Below are 21,870 nucleotides of genomic sequence, written 5' to 3'. Positions count from 1 at the left end.
TCTAACATGACAGGGCACAAAAATAAAACTCAGAGGAAGGTGGGGTCTATTCTGTTCTTTTTTTTTTTTTTTTTTTTTGAGATGGAATCTCACTTTGTCACCCAGGCTGGAGTGCAGTGGCACGATCTCGGCTCACTGCGACCTCCACCCCCTGGGTTCAAGCAATTATCCTGCCTTAGCCTCCCAAGTAGCTGGGATTACAGGTGCCTGCCATCGCGCCCAGCTAATTTTTGTATTTTTAGTAGAGGAGGGGTTTCACCATCTTGGCCAGGATGGTCTTGAACTCCTGACCTCATGATCCACCCACCTAGGCCTCCCAAAGTGCTGGGATTACAGGCATGAGCCATCTGCTGAACTTTCAATTAATCCTTCAGTCTGGTGATCCCAGTTGCCCAGACCCTTACCTCCAGGTGAAGTCAACCAGGTGCCTCCAAAGCTTGCTCTTTCCTCCCCTGGGTATGTGTCAGAGGGACAGACACCTTTTTCAATGGTGATCCTGTGACGGAGACCTGAGCGTCTTTGGAGAGATGCTGGAACAGGAGAACGATGCTTCACAATTGCTGCTCCAGGGATGGAACTGTGGTCCAAGAACAGATACTTCACACTCCACCCTACCCCACCAGGGGCTTCTGTGTGCAAAATCACTTCCTACAGGGAGGCAATGTGGGCAGGCTGGGAGGTCGGTTGACTTGGATGATTGTTACGACTTAGCCAATGGTATTAAATATACACGTCTAACAGGAGTCCCAGAAGAAGGTTACTGAGATGATCAGACCTGTCTTGTTGAAGAGACAACTCTGGAGGCTAAGTGCAGCCCTGCCAAGAGAATAAGAAAATGGATCACTGATCATGAGCTGGTATTGGTTCACTTCTTCAACTGCTGATGTAGCCTATTGAGGATGTTAAGTATTGTAATTCCTAAAACGGTTGGAGGGAAATTTAACAGAAAACTACTGGGAAAAAGAAATCATCTCATGCTTTCTCTTTCCTTTTGTTGCATTTTTTATTGTATTCTTCTCTCTTGTGCCTGGGGCTTTTTGAACCTTTTCTTCCCAAGATACTGGCTTTCCAAGCTTAACAGAAAATAAAATTTGAATCTGGTGTGGACAAGAGTTGGAGGGAAATGGTTCCCTGTAGTACTGGCTGACTAACCTCAGATGCCTTGAGCCACAGTTGGTATAGTCACCTCTTCTAAACTCTGGGTCTGTCTACATTTTTATTTGAACAGCATTGCTTTGCCATTTCCTTGGCTGTGTTGTAACACGCTGAGGCCCTGGGTGTGCACACCTGCATTCCCTGACAACTCCCAGATGCCCCAGCATGCCTTGAGGTTAGAAGAAAATTAGATAATTACTTAAGACTTGGCAATGTTCATCTGTTACCCAGGGGGCCTCTGAAGTCCTTTCTCCATTGCAATTCCATTTCTGGACTGTGTATGTAGTTTGAGATTGATAGAATTTATACATCTTGTTAGTACTTTTCAAATGTAGACTGAATTTCACTTGCAATTGAATTGAAAAAAGTTCCTGCTCCAGATGATTCTAATGGATTCATGGACTTCTAATATGGTTCAAATTAACCCCAATAGGTTCAGTGTATTTGTCGGGAAATGAGATGCAATCCCTTTAGCGTGTTTTGGGACAAAGTGTGTATTAGAGAATTCACTCCTAAGCGTCTACATTATTGCTTTTTATTTTCATATTGGTCATTATCATTTCTAGAAGAGATGTTTAGTCAAAAGAAAGGTTTTTTTTTGCCATTTGTAGCATAAATGAACCAGTTTCTCATAAGAAATCAGTGGCTTTACAAAAACAACAAAAAATATTGTAAAAGAGACTAGAGCTTTAGCAATCAGTGTAATATATGGGCCTTATATTAATCATGATGTAAACAAACTAAATATAAAAAAGAAATCTGTGAGGCAGTTGTACTGAGTATTAGCTAGTATTGAGCAATTGTTAATTTTAAGTGTGGTAATGGTATGATGGTTATGCTTTTACAAATGTTATCAGCTAGAGATGTGTGCTAAAGTATTTACAGGTGGTATCTGACATGTCCTTAAAAATGCTATAGCAAAAAGTAGTTGGGGAAGGGCCAGCAGATAGATGAAATGAGAGGCGGAAGTGCTAGAATTCTTGTAGTAGTGGTGAGGCTACATGGAGGCTCACTATACTCATCTCTCTACTTTTATGTGTGTTCGGAAATTTCCATTTTAAAAATAATTTCTTTTTGGCAGGGGAGATGGAAAACAGGAACTGGTAAATATCACGTTGGCTGATATCAGGATCTTGGGGCCTCTTTCTTGGTTGCTAATATACTACTCTAAAAATGTTAACATCCCTTTTTTTCCAAAATGGAAATTGTTTTGGAGTAATAACTATATTTTATTCATCTTTCTAGTGCTAAATAAATGCTCTGAGTTTATGTATTTTTTGTTTTTAGGGGTATACACATTTATGATTATAATGTCTTTATGAGTTGACCTCCAATGAAATATCCTGTTATCTCTAGTAATACTTAATGTTGTTCTGAAGTCTACTTTGCCTGATATCAATATAGCCCTACAAGCTTTCTTATGCTTAGTGTTTGCATGATATACCTATATAACTTTTTCTGTCCTTTTGCTTTCAACCTATTTGTGCCTGTATATGTAAACAGCATGTTGTTGGGTCTTGCTTTAATCTCTGTACACTTATTAGTGTTTAGTCCATTTATATTTAGTTGTTTAGTCTACCATCTTAATATTTTGTATTTGTCCCATCTCTTAATTGACCTTTTTTCCTGCCCAATAGAACAACAGGATACACAGCAAGGAAAGCAAGCCCTCTCCATAAGGACAGATGTAGAAATCTAGGAAATGCCATTCTTTGTGCTCCCTGGGGCACAAATCTAATACATCATAAATAAGGCACTCTAGAGTGGGCACCATGCCAGCCCTGACTGTTTGTCTCTGGCCCTCATAGCTAAGGCCCCTATTGCCTGCCATGCTTAAGTTCAGCTCAACCAGTTCTTGGCCTATATGAGGAATATATAATTGGGTTATGTCAGTTTCTTAAGCTGAGTTGATGATCACAAGCAGTTACACACAACTCAGTCCATGGAGTACAAACCAGCCTTTTATCACTAAATCCCAGCTGTCTTCACACTCCACCTGTGTCCTCCAGCATCCTCCATGGATCCTTTGGTTTCTGCTCCTGACTATCCACTTGTTTTCACTCTTCCCAGTATTCCAGTCCCTACCCAGGACTGAGCACTGTCCTGCGCTCCTGCCAGCTGGGTCAGCAGGCAGCCAGCAGTCCCTCTGCTCCTACCCAGCCTCTGCTCTTGGGCATAGCATCTCAAGTACCCAACTGCCCCTACAAATTCTGCCTTTGTGGCCCAATAAAGCCTCCCAGGGCCTGTGCCAAACCCCAGCTTTTGTTCTGCCTGTTCTTTTCTGCCTCATACATAAAGTTTGAGCTATAACAATCCCAGTCAGATCATCCCTTAAGCACAGGGTTCAGCCCTGGGTATCACAATAGGATGAATTGAGAATTTCATGAGATGTGGAGTTAGATGTTTTGGGGAAAATGTAATGTGAGAAATGATCCAGGGATGACTACATGGGGACGGAGGACTTAGAGAAGATACAATGGCTGTGTGCACACCTTTGGCATGCCACCTTGGAAAAGAAGAGAAGAGTTTATTCTGTGTGACTCCAGAGGCAAGAGTTAAGACCATGTATGTTATATTTTAAGATACACAGAGGGTTTACCTTTGGGATAGGCAGTTGTGCATTTTTTAAAAGTGGCTTGGATGCTAGGCAGGGTCAGAGTGTCTCGCCACAGGGGCATTCAGGCAGACTGGCCGCTTGTGGGGAGTTGCGGAGAGTTTGCCTTCGCTGGGGGAGAGGTTACTTAGAGGGCCTTGAAATATGCAACTCAAGAGGTGTCAGTTTTGAAATTAATGGCCCACAAAGGACTTTAAAGAGGGAAAAGGAGATCCTGATTTTTTTTGACTAAGTTTGGTTACCTATTGAATATAAGCCAAAGAGGCCAAGAGTACAACCCAGTTTGGGGACCTTAACAGCTCTCCCACTGGCTGGATTTCTCAGCACCCCTCCTTCATATTCCTCTCTCCAGACCCCACTCCCCACCTGCCTACTTCCTGAGGGATGCCAGCCAGTCTGACCCAGGGTTTTTGCTCCCCAGTTGGGCTCTCCTGGAACCGACCATGTGCTTCATTCAGAACACCTCTGCCTCTGAAATGTGCCTTTACCCTGTAGGGTATTGGTGGCCCCCTCTCCTTCAACACACAGAGGCTTCTGGAACTTCAGGTTAAATCTACTGTCCCCACCTGTGCTTGGTGTCCACACGGGCTGCTCACCGCTGCCACATCGATTTCACTTTACACAGCTGCAAGTCTCCATAGAAATTCTCTAACTACTCGCACTTTATTTTCTTCCATTCTTTTTTCACTGTCCCTCAAGCTCATGAGACCCAAATTGACCACATATTTGGAGATTCTCACAAGCATTTATATACACACAGAACACGACAAAAGAAAATGAGTCACTTACGGCCGTAGCACCCTGAATGCACCTGATCTCGTCAGATCTTGGAAGCTAAGCAGGGTCTGGCCTGGTGACTACCTGGATAAGAGAAGAGGAGGAGTTGCCTCACAGATACTCCAGTTGGAAAGCCCACGCTCCCAAAATGACATTCAGAGTAAGAAGTTGGGGATTTTGAGAGATTCATAGACAGTGGATTAGAAACTGGAAAATGGATGTTAACCTTGGGCCTCTCGTAGAGATCACACCTGGCTGTTCCACTTCGGCTATTCTCAGAATCATTAGAGTTTAGATATTCTTAGGCTGAGTGAAACGTGACATATTGGCTTCCATGGCAACACAGTTATAAATTGTTTTGGCAACGAATATTCGCTTCAGAAAGCATTCTAGGATTTCTCCTTCAACCCACAAGCACACAATTTCCTAAAACATAATGAGCCCATTTCTGCTCAAAAGCGGTTGCCACCTACCAGTGCAATGCCCTCCATGTCTTCAACCACACTGTACGGCAAAGGGCCTTACTTAGAGGGCCTCGACATAGGCAACTCAAGAGGTCTCAGTGGTTTAGAGACAGAGTTGGACTACAGAATATACAGCTCTTAGTCTCCTTTACAGATTTCAGGGAGATTGGGAAGGGTCCCCCATAACTCAGCTTCCTTTAGAAGGTTGCATAAACTATTTTAATGATAGTAGGTGCTTAAAGCAGAAACTGAGGCCATGGCAATTCTACAGCATTTGAAGCCAGTCTCCTTTAAGGCACAAAACTGGGCTCACAAATTCACACCAAACCTAGTGTTTCATTCACCTATCAAAGGTGAAGTTCCGTTCACCCCTGGCTTCATTGCAAAGTGTAGCCATTCCCTGAGTGGGTAGAGGAGCAGGGTTGGAGTGTCGAGTTCAGATGTCCTTATCGATATTTGCAAAGATACACATGACAGCAGAGGTTGTCTGAAACCTTTATGCTCAGAATAGCACTATTGACTTGTAAAGTGTAAGTGATTAAAATGTACCGAGTACCTGCCCAGTTCCAGGCATGGAGACGGGTCGGGAGGGACACAGACCGGAGTCAAACACAGATGCTGCCTTCACGGAACTCATTCTGGTGCATGGAGGTGAAAAAAGGATAGAAATGACCGGGACGCATATCCCAAAGGAAAACCCATCGAGGTATCATATCACAAAATATCACATCATTGCTTCCATTCTAACCTCTGCAGGATTAATGCAAAAAGGGAGGTTCCAAGAGCCATAGGAGGCCAGAGGTGGTGGGTTTCAGGCAGTCAGGGGACCCAGGACTGGCTTTGTGAAGGTAGCATCACATTGGCCATGCAAACGGTGCCACTTAAGCCGGTGGAAAGGGCGTGCCAGGAGGAAGCAGCAGAATAAAGACTCAGAAGTAATGTTTGGGGTATGTTCAGGGAATAACGAGTATTTCAGAGTGGCTGTAATTCAGGTATTTGTGAAAAAGTAATGATGTCAGAGGGAGGACCGTCTATCTCATGGCGACCTCTGGTTGCCTTTGAAGGTTTCTGAGCATAGACATGACATGCTGCAAGTGTACTGACCTGTGTTCCCCAAACAGACGAACAGCACCCAGAGATTACTTTCCCTTCTAGAAGATTAAACTTCCAGATGGTGGGTCCATGGGGAGTCTGTGGAAGGTTATCCCAATCTGGTTTTGTCTACCCAGTTTCTTTCCTGTGTTCTGAAGCTTTCTAAGCATCCAGATGGTCTTCTTCCCCCAAATGACTTTTAAAAATAAGTGATGTGTTCCAATTCATCAAGGGATTATCTTATCTCACTCACAAAGGGAGAGGGAAGGAAAGGATGTCATAAGTTTATATACTGAACATTTGGCCAATGTCAGAATAAGAGTATGTTTTCCTGAGTCCGGAAGGCTCCGGGCTCCTCTTCTAGGCTATAAATTGGCATTTGGGGAAGCATCTCTTTCTGTACATCCCATACTATCAGATGCAACATCTAAGTGGGCATTTTCTGCCAGACTCAGCCAAAGGGAAGAGGTGAGAAATTGACACTCCTTAGGTTCAGAAAACAGCCAGATTCCTACAATGTACCACATCCGGGGAAAACATAAACATCCTGGGTTCCTGCGGCGCGGGAAGGGGTCCGGGAGGGGGAAGAGCATGTTTCAGAGAGAAGGGCTGGGAAGGAAGGAAGTGAGGAAGGGTGGGGAGGTTGTCTTCTAGAATAGAATGTGACAGCTAACATCCAAGATGGCCTTCCAGGTGCTGGGACCTTACAAGCCTCTTCTTAAATTGTCACAGCCACCCTAACAGCAGTGGCCCCATTTTGTGGAGGAGAGAATAGGTTTCTGGGGGTTGGGTCAACTGCTGAGGGAGGTGCTGGGCCAATTCTAACTCATGCAAGTGGTTCCAAAGCATCTTCTGACACAGATGGGAGGGTGGGATGCAGGGCCTGGGCTAGGAGGAGTTTTTGGGAACTGGCACAGATGGGAGCTCCCACCCAGGTCTGCAGAAGCCCGTCCGAGTGCGGGTAACTTGGGAGCCTGTGCTCCGTGGGCAGCTCACGCTGTAGACTGGATTCACAAACACGGCACTCATGTAAGAGAGCAAAGAACCATCTGGAGAAGTGGAAGTCAGTGTGTAAAGGCAGAAGCTGAACAGATGATAAGAGGAATGGGAGTCAGAGATAAAGCCTGGACTGTACATGGTGGTAATGTTTGTATAACGTGAATGTCCTTAATGCTACTGAATTGTACACTTAGGAATAGTTAAGATAGGGTCAGGCACAATGGCTCATGACTGTAATCCCAGCACTTTGGAAGGCTGAAGTAGGAGAGTTGAGAACAGGAGTTCAAGACCAGCCCAGGCAACATGGCAAGACCCATCTCTACATAAAATTAGCCAGGCATGGTGGCCCACACCTGTAGTCCTATCTACTCGGAAGGCTGAGGCAGGAGGATCACTTGAGCCCAGAAGTTTCGAGGCTACAGTGAGCCATGATTGGGCCATTGCACTCCAGCTGGGTGACAGAGTTAGACCCTGTCTTAAAAACAAAAAACAAAAAACAGAAACCGGCTACGATAACTTTTATGGTCTATGCAGTTAACTACAATGCAAAAAAAATTATAGTTGTGCAAGATAAATAGTGCCAGAGACTGGTTGCACAACAATGTAATTGTACTTAACACTACTGAAGTGTACACTTAAAATGGTTAAGATGGTAAATTTTATGTTATGTATATTTTGCTACAATTTTTAAGAGATCATTTGAAAAAGTTGAAAAAGATAAGGCCTGGCTTTTGCACTGGTCAGAGAAGTGTGACAGTGAGACAGAGCTTCCAGGTTCAAGTTCATCAGAGGGCACCAATGGGACGAGTCGGGGAGGGGGTTGGCTGCTGAAGTTGCACAGGCCAGCTCTGGGCCCCGGGCTGACCTTCCCCACAGACGTACACAGACAGCCTTGGGGACAGATGACAGCACAGAGGATGTATAAAGTTTACAAGTCAAAAGGTTACCTTCTTGCAGACTAGAATGGAATTTGATGTTCATTAACTGTGAGTTTTTAAAAGCTCGGACTGACATCCTTCCTCAATTGCCTCCTTAATTCATTTTAAATTGAATACCCAGACTGCTCGCAAAAGAGAGATTATGGAAGAAGATGAGAAGGCAGTCAGCTGGAAAGGTTGTTTTATTTTTTTGGTAACTAAAACCACGATGTCCCAGGCAAATATCATAATATGTAGCTTGCCTGCATTTTTCTTGAGAGTAGTTGGAAGGCAGTTGTTCTGCAAAGAGAATGTTCTCATATGCTGCCGAGGGTTAGGGGAAGCCAAGGCTGCTGAAGCCTGCCCTCCTCTGTGAGCCCCTGGTTTGCAAAATAAATCTTCTTATTTGAAGACCTCAAGTTTTCCTAGAGGTAGTCAGTCTACCATGGAGGTTATGAGCATGGGAGCGCTACCTTTTGAGATAGACCTTCTGATTTCCAATTCAAGCTCCTTCACTTGTCACGGGGACTTAGGCAAGTGACGTCAGTGCTCTGAGCTTCGCTTTTATAATCCACAAAACAGGGAGAATGGTACAACCTCCCATATGGGTGGAATGTCAGAATATAATAAGATACGTGTTCAAAACTTCTCATACAGTGCCTGGTATTAGTAACATTTTAAAGTTTTTAAAACTTTTAAAGTTTGCCATTAAAAGTCATGGCAAAAACCACGATTACTTTTGCGCCAACCTAATACGTAGTAAATTCTCAAAGAATGGTTTCTCCCTCACCAGAATGAAGTGAAGATAAAGTCCTCAGTCGAGGAAACTTTCTGCCCTGGGTAAATAACTGCTCCCTGCCACAGCCATGAACCAGCCCTGAAATGTCCACATTTGATGTCCAAAGCCTTAGTGATGTGGTTTGGCTCTGTCCCCACCCAAATCTCATCTTGAATTGTACTGCCACAATTCGTACATGTTGTGGGAAGGACCCCGTGGGAGATAATTGAATCATAGGGACTGTTTCCCCCATACTGTTCTCCTGGTAGTGATTAAGTCTCATGAGATCTGATGGCTTTATAAGGTGTTTCCCCTTTGACTTGGCTCTCATTCTCTCGTGCCTGCCGCCATGTAAGACGTGCCTTTCACCTTCCACCATGATTGTGAGGCCTCCCCAGCCACATGGAACTGAGAGTCCATTAAACCTCTTTTTCTTTATAAATTACCCAGTCTTGGGTATGTCTTTATCCACAGCATGAAAACAGACTAATGCACTTAGCATGTTTAGCAGCTTCTCCTTTTTTATGGGACACAACCTTCTGCTGAGAACCCTTCCGGGCCCACTAGATGGAATTTGTGACTGGTGGCTGGGGAGCCTCAATTCCACTCATGATCAGGCTCCAAGTCACTGCCCATCCCTGGTCAAACTCCCTCTCTCTTTCCTGAGCATAGCTTTTCTTACATAAACTGGCAACTGCCAAGTTTTGTGATCCCTGCAGGGCAAGGATTTAATCATAGCACATCTCCCTGGGAGCTGCATGCCATCTCGGGCTAACGCCCACCCCCCACCCACCCCGGGCACTCTGTGGGGCCACAAGTCTGTGCTGAGCATGGAAGGAGCTGCAAGATGCAAAGGCATCAAGGCGACTGCAAGAGGAATACAGCCCCGGAGCCGATAATCCCTTTAAAGAGTGTGACTCTTAAAATAGTACTCATTTCTTTTTTTTTTTTTTTTTTAGACAGTCTTGCTCTGTAGCCCAGGCTGGAGTGCAGTGGCATGATCTCAGCTCACTGCAAACCCTGCCTCCTGGGTTCAAGTGATTCTCCTGCCTAAGCCTCCCAAGTAGCTAGGACTACAGGCACAAAACACCACACCCAGCTAATTTTTGTATTTTTAGTAAAGACAGGGTTTCACCATGTTGGCCAGGCTGATGGCAAACTCTTGACCTCAAGTGATCCGCCGGCCTCAGCCTCCCAAAGTGCTGGGATTACAGGCGTGAGCCACCTTGCCTGGCCAATAGTACTCATTTCTAGTTACACAAGCAAAGCATGTACAAATACATGATCTGTGTAAAAATGTAAGCATTGCAAGTAAAAACACAGCTTCCTTTTCACTCTAACAATAAAGACCCTTCCAGCCTAGGTCTTTACACACATAATACATAGACCCTTAAAAAATAATTATGTGGGCATTTTAAAAACTGTATGGTAACATACTATAGGAATGGTGCTAGAACTTGGTGTCTTTTTTGTTTTGTTTTGTTTTTCGAGATGGGGTCTTGCTCTGTCACCCAGGCTGGAGTGCAGTGGCACAATCTCGGCTCACTGCAAGCTCCGCCTCCCGGGTTCACGCCCATTCTCCTGCCTCAGCCTCCCGAGTAGCTGGGACTACAGGCGCCCACCACCATGCATGGCTAATTTTTTGTATTTTTTTAGTAGAGATGGGGTTTCACCGTGTTAGCCAGGGTGGTCTTGATCTCCTGACCTCGTGATCCACCTGCCTCGGCCTCCCAAAGTTCTGGGATTACAGGCATGAGCCACCGTGCCCGGCCAACTTGGTGTCTTTTTTTTCTACTCGATAATGTATGTTGGAAGCCTTCCCCCTTCCATCTGTTTAATCACACATAGTGTTACATGGGGTAGATGGGCTGCAGTTTATTTAACTGTTCTCCTACACATGGGTCTTAAAGTCATTCCTGCTTTTTCAGTGATCATCCTGTTATCAACATCTGTGCATATTTTTCTAGATAGGTAATGAGAAGAAGGGGAAATGCAACTTTTATAGGTTAAATCCAGAATGAAGCATAACATTTTATGGCTTTGGTTCCCTGATTAGGAATTACAGAAGGAATCAAGTGTCTTTAAGGAAAAATAATGGGCATAGAAACTGATCAGAGAACTAAAGTATAACTTTGCAATAGTCTAATACAGTTTGTAGTGTTTGATCCATTCAAAGCTTGTATGGAACTGCAAAGGTTTCATACTATATTTTAAGATCTTTATAGAATCCTTCTGTATTTTAAAAACGTTGGCCAAGAAATTTTTGAAAAAGGAATATCCTATCACATCATATATTATAAAACTAATTTAACAAAAGTCATATGGCACTGGAGTACTTATTAACCCATAGCTAAACAGGACAAGGTGGGTCCGATCAGACCTTAGCATATGTAAGAATCCTAAAGAAGGAGGTAATACAGATGGGTAGGGAAGGGAGCCGTATTTAATAAAATATGGGAGAATAATTGATTTGCTACTTGGAAAAGCTTTATATACTCCCTTCATACCATATACCCAACTAGATTCTAGGTAAACTCAGGAATTTGAAAAGTTAAACCTTCAGTCAGTATGACATTTTTAAAAAACAACTTGGCAACATAAAGCCATACTTCTAAGAAATGTTCATAACTTCTAGTAATTTCACTTTTGAGTGTCAATCCTAAAGAAATCATCCTGATAAAGAAAAACGTGGCACATCAAAATCTTTAGGAAAGTACAAAATTCAGTAACAGCCCACAGACTCAACAAAAGGACTACGGTAAAGTAAAGAGTCATCTGAAATGATTACAGCCATCAGAATAATGAAACTCGGGTTGCAATGTTTTTATACCATGTAAATTTTAGAAAGCGAAATTCACACTAAAAGACACTGTGTTCCAAGAAATAGGATGTCAGCAAGATGACAAAAGAGGACTCTTCACCACTCATCTCCCACGCAGAAAATCAGTTTGAACAACTCTCCCTACATGAAAACACCTTCCCAAGAGCTGGGAAAACCAGGTGAGAGATCACAGTATCTCAATGTGGCATAGAAATAAGGACATTTCTGGCCGGGCGCAGTGGCTCACGCCTGTAATCCCAGCACTTTGGGAGGCCGAGGTGGGCGGATCACGAGGTCAGGAGATCGAGACCATCCTGGCTAACACGGTGAAACCCCGTCTCTACTAAAAATACAAAAAAAAATTAGCCGGGTATGGTGGCGGGTACCTGTAGTCCCAGCTACTCAGGAGGCTGAGGCAGGAGAATGGCATGAACCCGGGAGGCGGAGCTTGCAGTGAGCCGAGATAGCGCCACTGCAGTCCGGCCTGGGCAACAGAGCAAGACTGTCTCAAAAAAAAAAAAAAAAAAAAAAAAAAAAAAAAAGAAGAAGAAATAAGGACATTTCCAACATCACCTCCCCCAACCCCGGGCAGCACAGTATGGAGAGAGATCCTCTCCACTTGGGGGAAGGTAAGGGAAGTGAGCTCTGGACTTCGCCTCAGACCTACACTGGGCCTGCCCCAGAAAAACCCAGTGCCATGCAAGGGCCTCACAGCCCCAGACTCCAGGCTGGTACCATTGCACTGGGCATAAAGGCCTGCTCTGGCACCCGACCTGCCCAATGGACTTGGTCTCCGGGCCCAACCCAGTAGCCCCAAGCTCTGGACTGCTTCCAGCACTTAGATGGCTCTCATAGCTCCAGGCTTCAGATCCACCCCAGCACCAGACAGGCCCCTGCAGCCTTACTCAGCAAGCCAGCAGCCACAGACCCAGCCTCCAGGCCAGCCTTGTGCTAGGCCAGTCCTCATGGCCCCAGACTTCAGGCTTACTTCCGGTTCCAGATCAGATGTGAGCCAGGTTGGTCCACTTGGCTCCAGGCTTTGAGCCCGCCATAGTACCAGGTTGGCACCCCTGGCCCCAGGCTGGCAATTTTTTTTTTTTTCTGAGATGGAGTCTCTCTCTGTCACCCAGGCTGGAGTGCAGTGGCGTGATCTCAGCTCACTGCAACCTCTGCCTCCCAGGTTCAAGCGATTCTCCTGCCTCAGGTTGGTCCACATAGCTTCAGGCTTTGAGCCCACCATACTATCAGGTTGGCACCCGTGGCCCCAGGCTGTCAATTTTTTTTTTTTTTTTTTTTGAGATGGAGTCTGTCTCTATCCCTCAGGCTGGAGTGCAGTGGCACGATCTCAGCTCAACCTCCGCCTCCCAGGTTCAAGAGATTCTCCTGCCTCAGCCTCCTGAGTAGCTGGGATTACAGGCATGCACCACCATGCCCAGCTAATTTTTGTATTTGTAGTAGAGACGGGGTTTCACCATGTTGGCCAGGCTGGTCTCAATCGCCTGCCCTTGTGATCCGCCCACCTTGGCCTCCCAAAGTGCTGGGACTTCAGGCGTGAACCACTGCGCCTGGCCCAGGTTGGCATCTTAAGACATAGTCTCCAGGCCTGCCCAGTGCCAGGGCAGCCCCTGCATTGCTATTCTCCAGCAGACCAGGGGTTTAGGCCTGTCCCAGGACAATCGAGTGCTTGGCCTGTCCTTGAGAACCCAGGCTCCAGGACCATCCACTGTGAACCCAGGCTCCAGACTAGCCCCCATGGCTCCAGGTACCCAGGCTCCATACCTGCCCCAGGTCCACCCTGCAGACCCTGGTGCCAGGTCAGCACCCATGGTCTCAAGACCAAGGGTTGCCTTCATGGACTCAGGCTCCAGGCCTGTCCCAGTGCCTGGCCAAGACCTACAGATCCAGGGTCAAGGTCCACCACAATACCTTGTCAGTTTCTGTGAACCTAGGCTTCAGGCTGGCTTCCACAGTACCAATTAACAAGTTCACCGTAGTGGATCCAGGCACCAGGCCAGCCTACCCAAAGGCTCCAGTAGCAAACCCACCCATGACCACACAAGACAGCCTGCCCAGAATCTCTGGACAGGCTACTGGTGAAAGGCTTTCTCAAACAAAGACTGAAATAAATCTCTACTTCCTCAAATGTGCAAACACCAAATTATGGCCACAAAAACAATCATGGAAAAATCACATCACCAAAGGAACAAAATAAAGCACCAGTAACTGACTCTAAAGATACAGAGATTTATGAGCTACCTGACAAAGAATTCAAAATAATTGTTTTAAGGAAGGTCAGTGACCCCACCCCACCCTGCAAAATGCAGAAAAACAATTGAACCAATCAGGAAAATGAATGACCCAAACAAGACATTTAATGAATGGACCACTAGACATATATATAACATTCCATCCAACAGCAGCAGAATGCACATTCTTCTCAGGTGCACACAGAGAATTCTCCAGGATAGATAATAAATTTAAAAATTCTGAAATCCTACTGAGTATCTTTTTTAACCACAATCGTTTGAAACCAGAAATCAATTCTGGTTTCAGAAAAATTCTTCCTGTTATAAGGATTTTGGGAAATTCCCAAATATGTGGAAATTAAGCAACATGTTCCTGAACACCAATGGGTCAAAGAAAAAAATTTTAAAAATGTTTAAAGTGTCATGAGACAAATGAAAATGGAAACACAACATACCAAAACTTACGGGATGCAGCAAAAGCAGTTCTAAGAGAGAAGTTTATAACAATAAATGCCTGCATCAAAAAAGAACTTGCCAAGTAAACATCTAGTGTTACCTCAAGGAACTACAAAAAGAAGAACAAACTAAGCCCAAAGTTAGAAGGAAAGAAATAATAATAAATGAGAGAGTAGAAAAATAATACAGAAGATCAGCAACATAAAGAGTTGGTTTTTTGAAAAGACAAAACTGACAAACCTTTAGCTAGACTAAGTAAAAAAAGACAACTCAGGCCAGGCATGGTGGCTCACGCACACCTGTAATCCCAGCACTTTGGGAGGGCTAACTGGGTGGATCACTTGAGGCCAGGAGTTTGAAAACAGCCTGGTCAACATAGCAAAATCCCGGCTCTACACAATACAAAAAATTAACCAGGCATGGTGGTGTATGCCTGTAGTCCCAGCTGCTTGGGAGGCTGAGGCAGGCGAATCGCTTGACCCAGGAGGCGGAGGTTGCAGTGAGCCAAGGACACGCCACTGCACTTCAGCCTGGGTGACAGAGCAAGACTCTGTCTCAAAAGAAAAAACAAAAGATAAAATCAGAAATGAAAGAGGAGAAATTACACTGATACCGCAGAAATACAAATGACTAAAAAAGACTACCACAGACAATCATATGCCAACAAATTAGATAACTTACAAGAAATGGATAAATTCCTAGACACATACAACCTACTATGATTAAGTCATGAGTAAACAGAAAATTTGAACAGAACAGTAATGAGTAAGAAGATTGAATTGGCAGTAAAAAGTCTATCATCAAAGAAAATCACAGGATCTGATGGCTTTGCTACTAAATTCTACCAAACATTTAAAGAAGTATACTGATTCTTCTCAAATTCTTCCACAAAATTGAACAGGAGGGAATACTTCCAAACTCACCGTACATGGCATCACTCTGATACTAAAAGCAGACAAAAACACTATAAAAAGAAGCTGTTACAAGCCAAAAATCTCTGATGAACGTAGATGCAAAAGTTCTCAAGAAAATACTAGTAAACTGAATCCAACAGCACATTAAAAGGATCATTTGCCATGATCAAATGACATTTATCCCAGGGATATAAGCATGGTTCAACATACACTAATCTATAAATGAGATACATCACATTAATGGAATGAAGGACAAAAACCTTATGATTATTTCAATAGATGCAGAAAAACCATTGGACAAAATTCAACTTCCTTTAATGATAAAAAAACTTTCAACAAATTAGGTATAGAAGGAATGTGTCTCAACACAATAAAGGCCACGTAAGACAAACCCACAGCTAACATCATACTCCGTGGTGAATAGTTGAAAGCTTTTCTTCTAAGATCAGGAATAAGACAAAGATGTTCACTCTTACCACTTCTATTCAACATAGTACTGGAAGTTCTATCCAGAGCAGCTAGGCAAGAGAAAGAAATGAAGGGCATCCAAATTGGAAAGGAAGAAGTCAAATTGTCCCTGTTTGCAATGGCATGATCTTACACACAAAAAGAACCCAAAGAGTCCACCCAAAACTATTAGAGCTAATAAACAAATTCAGTAAAGTCTGAGGATACAAAATCAACACACAAAAATCAGTAGTATTTCTATGCACTAACAATGAATTATCTGGAAAAGAAATCAATAAAACAATCCTATTTACAATAGTTACAAAATAATAACATACTTAGGAATAAACTTAACCAAAATGGTGAAACCACTGTACACTGAAAACTATAAGACATTGATGGAAAAAACTGAAGATACAAATAAATGGGAAGATATCCTGTGCTCATAGATTAGAAGAATATTGTTAAAGTGTCTATACTACCAGAGTGATCTACAGATTCAATGCAATCCCCATCAAAAACCTTAATGGAATTTTTCATAGAAATAGAATCATAAAATTCATATGGAGCCACAAAAGACCTTGAATAGCCAAGGAATCTTGAGGGGAAAAAAAGAAGCATTGTACTACCTGATTTCAAAATATACTACACAGCAATAGTAATCAAAGCGGGATGGCACTGGCCTAAAAATAGAAATCTACCAATTGAACAGAATAGAGCGCCAAGAAATAAATCCATGTGTATGGTCAATGGATTTTCGACAGAGATGCCAAGACATGCAACGGGGAGAGGACAGTCTCTTCAGTAAACGGTGCTGGAAAAATTGAGTATCTACGTGCAGAGAATGAAATTAGGCCCTCATCTCACGCCATATACAAAAATCAACTCAATGTTTAAAGACTTAAGCGTAGACCTGAAACTGTAAACCTACCAGAAGCAAACACAGGGGCAGAGCTCCATGACATTGGTCTGGGCAATCATTTTTTGGGTATGGCCACAAAAGCATAAGCAACTAAAGGGAAAAGATGCAAATGGGAACACATCAAAGTAAAAAGCTCCTGTCCAGCAGAGAAAATGATCAACAGAGTGAAAAAAACACCTACGAAATGGAAGAAAATATTTACACACCACACATCTGATAAGGGGTTAATAACCAAAAGAAACCAAACACCCAACAGCAAGAAAGCCAACAACCTGATTTAAAAAATGGGCAAAGGACCTAAATAGACCTCTAGAAAGACGACATACAAATGGTCAACAGGTATATTTAGAAATGTTCAACATCACTAATCAGGGACACGCAAATTAAAATGAATATGAGATATCATCTCACACCCGTTAGAAGGGCTATTACCAAAAAGACAAAAGATAAGTGTTGGTGAGGATGTGGAGTAAAGGGAACCCTTGTGCACTTGGTGGGAATGTAAATTAGTAATTATGGAAAACTGTATGGAGTTTTCTCAAAAAATTAAGAACAGAGCTACTGTATGATCCAGCAATCCCACTACTGGGTATACATCCAAAGTCAGTATGTCGAAGAGATATCTACACTCCCATGTTCACTGAAGCATTACTTACAATAGTCGAGATAGGGAATCAAACTAAAGTGTCTGTCAATGAATGAATCGATAAAGAACATGATGTGTATATACTCAGTGGAATACTATGCACCCTTAAAAAAGGATATACCATCATTTGTGACAAAATGGATGAAACTGGAGGATATTAAGTGAAATAAGCCAGGCACCAGTACTGCATGATCTTATTAATATTTAAATGTAGAATCTAAAAAAAATGAGCTAAAAGAACCAAAAAGTAGAATGGCAGTTACCAGAGACTTGGAAGGGGTATTGGAAGATGCTGTTCAAAGGGTACAATATTTCAGTTACAAGGAATAACTTCAGGAGATCTAATGGACATCATGGTGGCTACAGTTAATAACAATACAATGTATGTTTGAACATTGTTAAAAATAGATTTTAAGTGTTCTCACTACAAAAAAATGGTATGTGAGGTGATACATCGTTAATTAGCCATGTCAGTGTACACATATTTCAGATCACGTTGTACATGTTCAATATAAATTTTGTCAATTTAAATATTTTTAAAATGTTAAAGTAAATACAGTGTTTATAACCAGGTTTAAGAAATCATGCCACTAAAATAGAAATGCAAGTTGTCTTTGAGTGGTGAGATTATAGGTGACTTTTTCCCATTTCTCATTAGTTTATAATTTTCAAAAAAACATTAGCGTATATTAGCTTTAGAATGTGTTATTTCATTCAGCAGTGACTCTGTTGAGGACTTACTGTGTGTCAGGCACAGTATTAGGCACTAGGGCTATGGCAGTAAAAACCAGAGATAGAGTCCCCGTTTTTTAGTCTAGTGGAAGAAAGAACAAATTAGCCATTAATAAGGAAATCCAACAATGTTATAAGGCACTGAAGAGAAGCAGGTGATGCAACAGCCTCATTAGGAGAGGTGACTTATGGGGTGACAAGGGAACACATCTGCAGAGATGACACAGGAACCAGGATGAGAATGAACCTGCCTTGCAGAGTCATGGAATGGCCTTCCAGAAAGATGGAACAGCAAACTGTTGAAGAGGTCGCTAAGAATAACTGTGGTCGTTTATAGAATGGAACAGTAATTCAGACATATTTAAAATTCTCACAGATAATATTCATTTCACAGGGGCTGGCCGCAACTATGCACTGGGGAGGATTCTGTAATTATACTGCCTTCCACATATAAATTTTGCCCTTGGCCGGGCTCTGTGGCTCACACCCATAATCCCAGCACTTTGGGAGGCCAAGGTGGGTGGATCATTGGAGGTCAGGAGTTTGAGACCAGCTTGGCCAACATGGTGAAACCCTGCCTCTACTAAAAATACAAAAATTAGGGTGCCTGTAGTCCCAGCTACTCAGGAGGCTGAGGCAGGAGAATCGCTTGAACTCGGTAGGTGGAGGTTGCAGTGAGCCAAGATCACGCCACTATATTCTAGCCTGGGCAACAGAGCAAGACTCTGTGTCAAAAAAAAAAAAAAAATTTTTTTTTTTTTTTTTGCTCTGACTAGTTATTGAAACTTGCAAGTTTGCAAGGACTTGTGCCAGATACCAAGCCAGGAAGGACAATCCTTGAATTGGCAGAAACACGTATCATTGTGCTTGTCATCTGTTGTTTATAGGTTTTCCAATAATATTTTTACCAAATAAAATATTAACTGAGAATTTATTTGGGGACATATGGTTATGGACTGAGTCTGGCAATATGTAGCAGCAACTGCATTCGACATTGAATGGCTTTAAGGCACACCAAATACACCATGCTTTTTCTCATTATCAGTATCTCTGCCTTAAAAAGGAAAACAGCTACGTAGCCAGCAAGCGGCACAACCACATTTGAAGCAAGGTCTTGCTAAATTGCACCCACAGCTCTTTCCAATCCAAGGAGAGTCAGCTCTAGGGCTATCTCAACTCCAGGGCCACCTGTCTTGGTTCAGTAGCAGAAAAAAGCCTGTGTCTGGGTTTGATAAATTCTCCCAAATAAACAGACTCTTAGCTGAAGCAGGACCTGGATGTGGCTGTGTGGACAAGTCATCAGTCTCTGAGAAGTAAACATGAACATGATCACAGCTCATAAATTCCCATCGCATTCCCCGGGAGGGCGGATGGCCAGGAGCCCTTGGGGTTTTCAGCCAGTACTGAGGATACAGGCACACACCCCAGCCCTTGGGAGGAAGGTGGAGCCTGGCCTTTCACTGCCTTTTTCAGTTGAAGAGCTGGAGACTGGCCCCTAATTACCCAATACCCTAGACCCTGAAAAGTACCCCATGGAAACCAGCATCAGATTAGAGATGGGTCAGGTGGATAGCACCAGTGGGGAGGGAGCAGGACAGCTTTGGCTTTGGGTCAGTGCCTGTCTAGGATCCCCCTCCTTGGGAGACCTGGTACCCTGCACCGTTAGTCCACGGTTCAGCCTTCCACTCTCCACAGCCTCATTGCTTTGCCCTGACACCGGAAGGGAGAGCCTGACTTCAGAGCCCTTCCGGCACTAAGCACAGGGGTCCACAGAGCAAGGGGTAAGCTTTGACTGGGCCAATGACCTGTTCTTCCCTTGGGCAACAGCAATGACCCAAGACATGGAGCTTACAGAGCTGATGGGGGACACAGTGCACCTCACTCAGCCCGGGTTGGCACACCCACACTCCATGGGCAGGGCAGGAGTAAGCATGGCCCCCGGGTGCCCCACTGGCAGCCACCTGTCAACTGCTGGGCACGGTGGGGAGAAGATAACATCATCAGGTCCTTTTGCCCTTCCTCCCCTGCAGCCTGGGATGCCACGGAGGCTGAGCATACACACATCTGAGGGCCGATGGTCAGTGGCCATGAATGTCACTCTTCCTTCCCAAGGGAATGCCTGCATCAGCCAGGCTGTAGTGCCCTTATAGCCCTCCTGCTGTTTTCAAGGGAGAGAATTAACTGGCCGTGACTGGCTAAGGACTGAGGTGCCCAAGGAGGCTTTGACTAAACAAGCAGAGGCATCCAAGGTTGGAAGATGTCTTTCAGATGCTGTAACTCACAGGACCATGAGTGTCCAAGGATACCAGGAAGATGGAGCCTTGCATCTAGACCAGAGCCCCATCCACTGTGATGTGGATTTTCTGGGATCCTGAAAATAAAAGTAGAACATCTTCCTTCCCACTACACCTGGACACCTTCTCTGCACTCACCATGGACAGTGGTCAGCATTAAGAAATCACAGTTCTGGCCAGGCGCCGTGGTCCACACCTGTAAACCCAAGCACTTTGGGAGGCCAAGGCGGATGGACCACGAGGTCAGGAGTTTGAAACCAGCCTGGCCAACACAGTGAAACCCTGTCTCTGCTAAAAATACAAAAAGTAGCCGGGCATGGTGGCATGCACTTGTAGTTCCAGCTACTTGGGAGGCTGAGGCAGGAGAATTGCTTGAACCTGGGAGCCGAGATCACACCTCTGCACTCCAGCATAGGCAACAGAGGGAAACTCTGTCTCAAAAAAAAAAAAAAAGAAAAATCACAGTTCTTAGCCAAGAATCTGTGATTTCAGCACCCTTCTACCCCTTGGTAGTTCTAGAAAAAGGATTTAGAGTTGAAATCAGTATTCCATGACCTAGTGTTTCCCAGGCTTCTTTGTATCACAGACTAGATAAAATGTTTGCAAAACTCCCTGGGAGAAACACAGGAGACCGCTCGTAACTGAGCAGCCTTGACACTCACTCTTGTAGTCTATTCTTGCTGCATGTTGGAGATCTCCACCAGAGACCGATGAGATCTGGGGTAAAACAAAGTTAGAGAGGTTTAATGCAGGACCAATGTGCACAGCTGATACTAAGTGTTACATCACAGAGGAAGCCATAATATGCAGCATTTCTGAAACTTTTTTAACCAGAACCACCCTTTTGGTCCCCACGTAAACATCTAATGAGACGAGTGTCCTGGAGACTCCATTTTGGGAAACCTTTGTAGTAGATTTATCTGAAGACGTGGCTTTATGATCTCTGTAGTAGAACTTAGCTAATAAACTCCCCTTTCCTCTGATGGCAGGCAATTCACCCAAGACAGCTCAATGTTTCCTGATTTTAATCATGGGCCATCAGCAGGACTTAACCCCTGGCCATTTAAGATCTTGTCCCCCTGCTTCCCACATCCAGCTGCTACTGCGCTCCAACTCTCAGCAGGGCTGGCCCTGGCCCCAGCTTCTGAAATGTGATCCCTTCTCCTGCACTTACCCAGGTTTTCCATCATCTAGCATCTCCCCTCTAGAATGGATTTTTCCTCATCTGCGTCACATCCTGCAATTCTTAAGGGATTTGGTATGGGGATGTACAAAATAAGCTAGTCAACAGGGGGCGGGCAGGTGGGGGCAGGGAGAAAAGGAAAGTAAGGAAAAGGCACCAAGTTCAGGGCTCCTTAAATCCAGCTCCCAGATCTTACCAGAACAAATCGTCAAAACTAATCTTCTTTTTTCTTTTTCTTTGAGACAGAGTCTTGCTCTGTCACCCAGGCTGGAGTGCAGTGGTGCGATCTCAGCTCACTGCCAACTCCTCCTCTCGGGTCAAGCGATTCTCCTGCCTCAGCCTCCCGCGTAGCTGGGAGTATAGGTGTGCACCACCACACCTGGCTAATTTTTCTATTTTTAGTAGAGATGGGG

General features: G+C 44.0%; 1 protein-coding gene, 1 long non-coding RNA gene and 1 pseudogene across 3 annotated transcripts in view, besides 7 other annotated features; 2 read left to right on the top strand and 1 right to left on the bottom strand.

Annotated features, from left to right (window-relative positions):
- CCDC3 (coiled-coil domain containing 3) overlaps positions 1–21,870 on the top strand; it is a 203,365-nt gene that overhangs the window by 170,650 nt on the left and 10,845 nt on the right. The gene's annotated exons all lie outside the window — the stretch shown is intronic.
- Positions 427–21,541, bottom strand: LOC105376418 (uncharacterized). Its single transcript, XR_001747367.3, has 3 exons — positions 21,449–21,541; positions 20,937–20,991; positions 427–816 (listed from the first exon to the last, which is right to left on the bottom strand). It is a non-coding gene; the product is annotated as an uncharacterized LOC105376418 (long non-coding RNA).
- Positions 4,555–4,661, top strand: RNA5SP300 (RNA, 5S ribosomal pseudogene 300; annotated as a pseudogene).
- Positions 11,845–12,159: a mobile genetic element, noted in NCBI's record as "direction; reverse".
- Positions 11,845–15,862: a biological region, named in NCBI's record as "10p13 CCDC3 distal Alu-mediated recombination region". NCBI's record gives its function as "recombination_partner: LOC107275222".
- Positions 11,856–11,892: a non allelic homologous recombination region, noted in NCBI's record as "10p13 CCDC3 distal Alu-mediated NAHR sub-region, recombines with the 10p13 CCDC3 proximal Alu-mediated NAHR sub-region within the 10p13 CCDC3 proximal Alu-mediated recombination region". NCBI's record gives the evidence for it as "EXISTENCE:nucleotide sequencing assay evidence [ECO:0000219][PMID:26740941]".
- Positions 12,303–13,570: a meiotic recombination region, noted in NCBI's record as "meiotic double-strand break mapped by DNA meiotic recombinase 1 chromatin immunoprecipitation followed by single-stranded DNA enrichment and sequencing in the germ cells of some male individuals with the PRDM9 A/A and PRDM9 A/B genotypes". NCBI's record gives the evidence for it as "EXISTENCE:chromatin immunoprecipitation-seq evidence [ECO:0000229][PMID:25395542]".
- Positions 12,317–15,862: a meiotic recombination region, noted in NCBI's record as "this region was identified as a recombination hotspot within the HapMap CEU population". NCBI's record gives the evidence for it as "EXISTENCE:nucleotide sequencing assay evidence [ECO:0000219][PMID:20981099]".
- Positions 12,759–13,299: an enhancer, noted in NCBI's record as "H3K27ac-H3K4me1 hESC enhancer chr10:12958041-12958581 (GRCh37/hg19 assembly coordinates)". NCBI's record gives its function as "activates a minimal SCP1, AML or CMV promoter by ChIP-STARR-seq in naive H9 embryonic stem cells {active_cell/tissue: H9 hESC(naive)}" and the evidence as "EXISTENCE:reporter gene assay evidence [ECO:0000049][PMID:30033119]".
- Positions 13,134–13,146: a nucleotide motif, noted in NCBI's record as "nucleotide motif; similarity to the predicted 13-mer PRDM9 A binding motif (LD hotspot motif), CCNCCNTNNCCNC".

This window comes from Homo sapiens, chromosome 10 (genome assembly GCF_000001405.40).
Source record: "Homo sapiens chromosome 10, GRCh38.p14 Primary Assembly".
Taxonomy (NCBI): Eukaryota; Metazoa; Chordata; class Mammalia; order Primates; family Hominidae; genus Homo; species Homo sapiens.
This window is presented reverse-complemented; position numbering and strand designations above follow the sequence as displayed.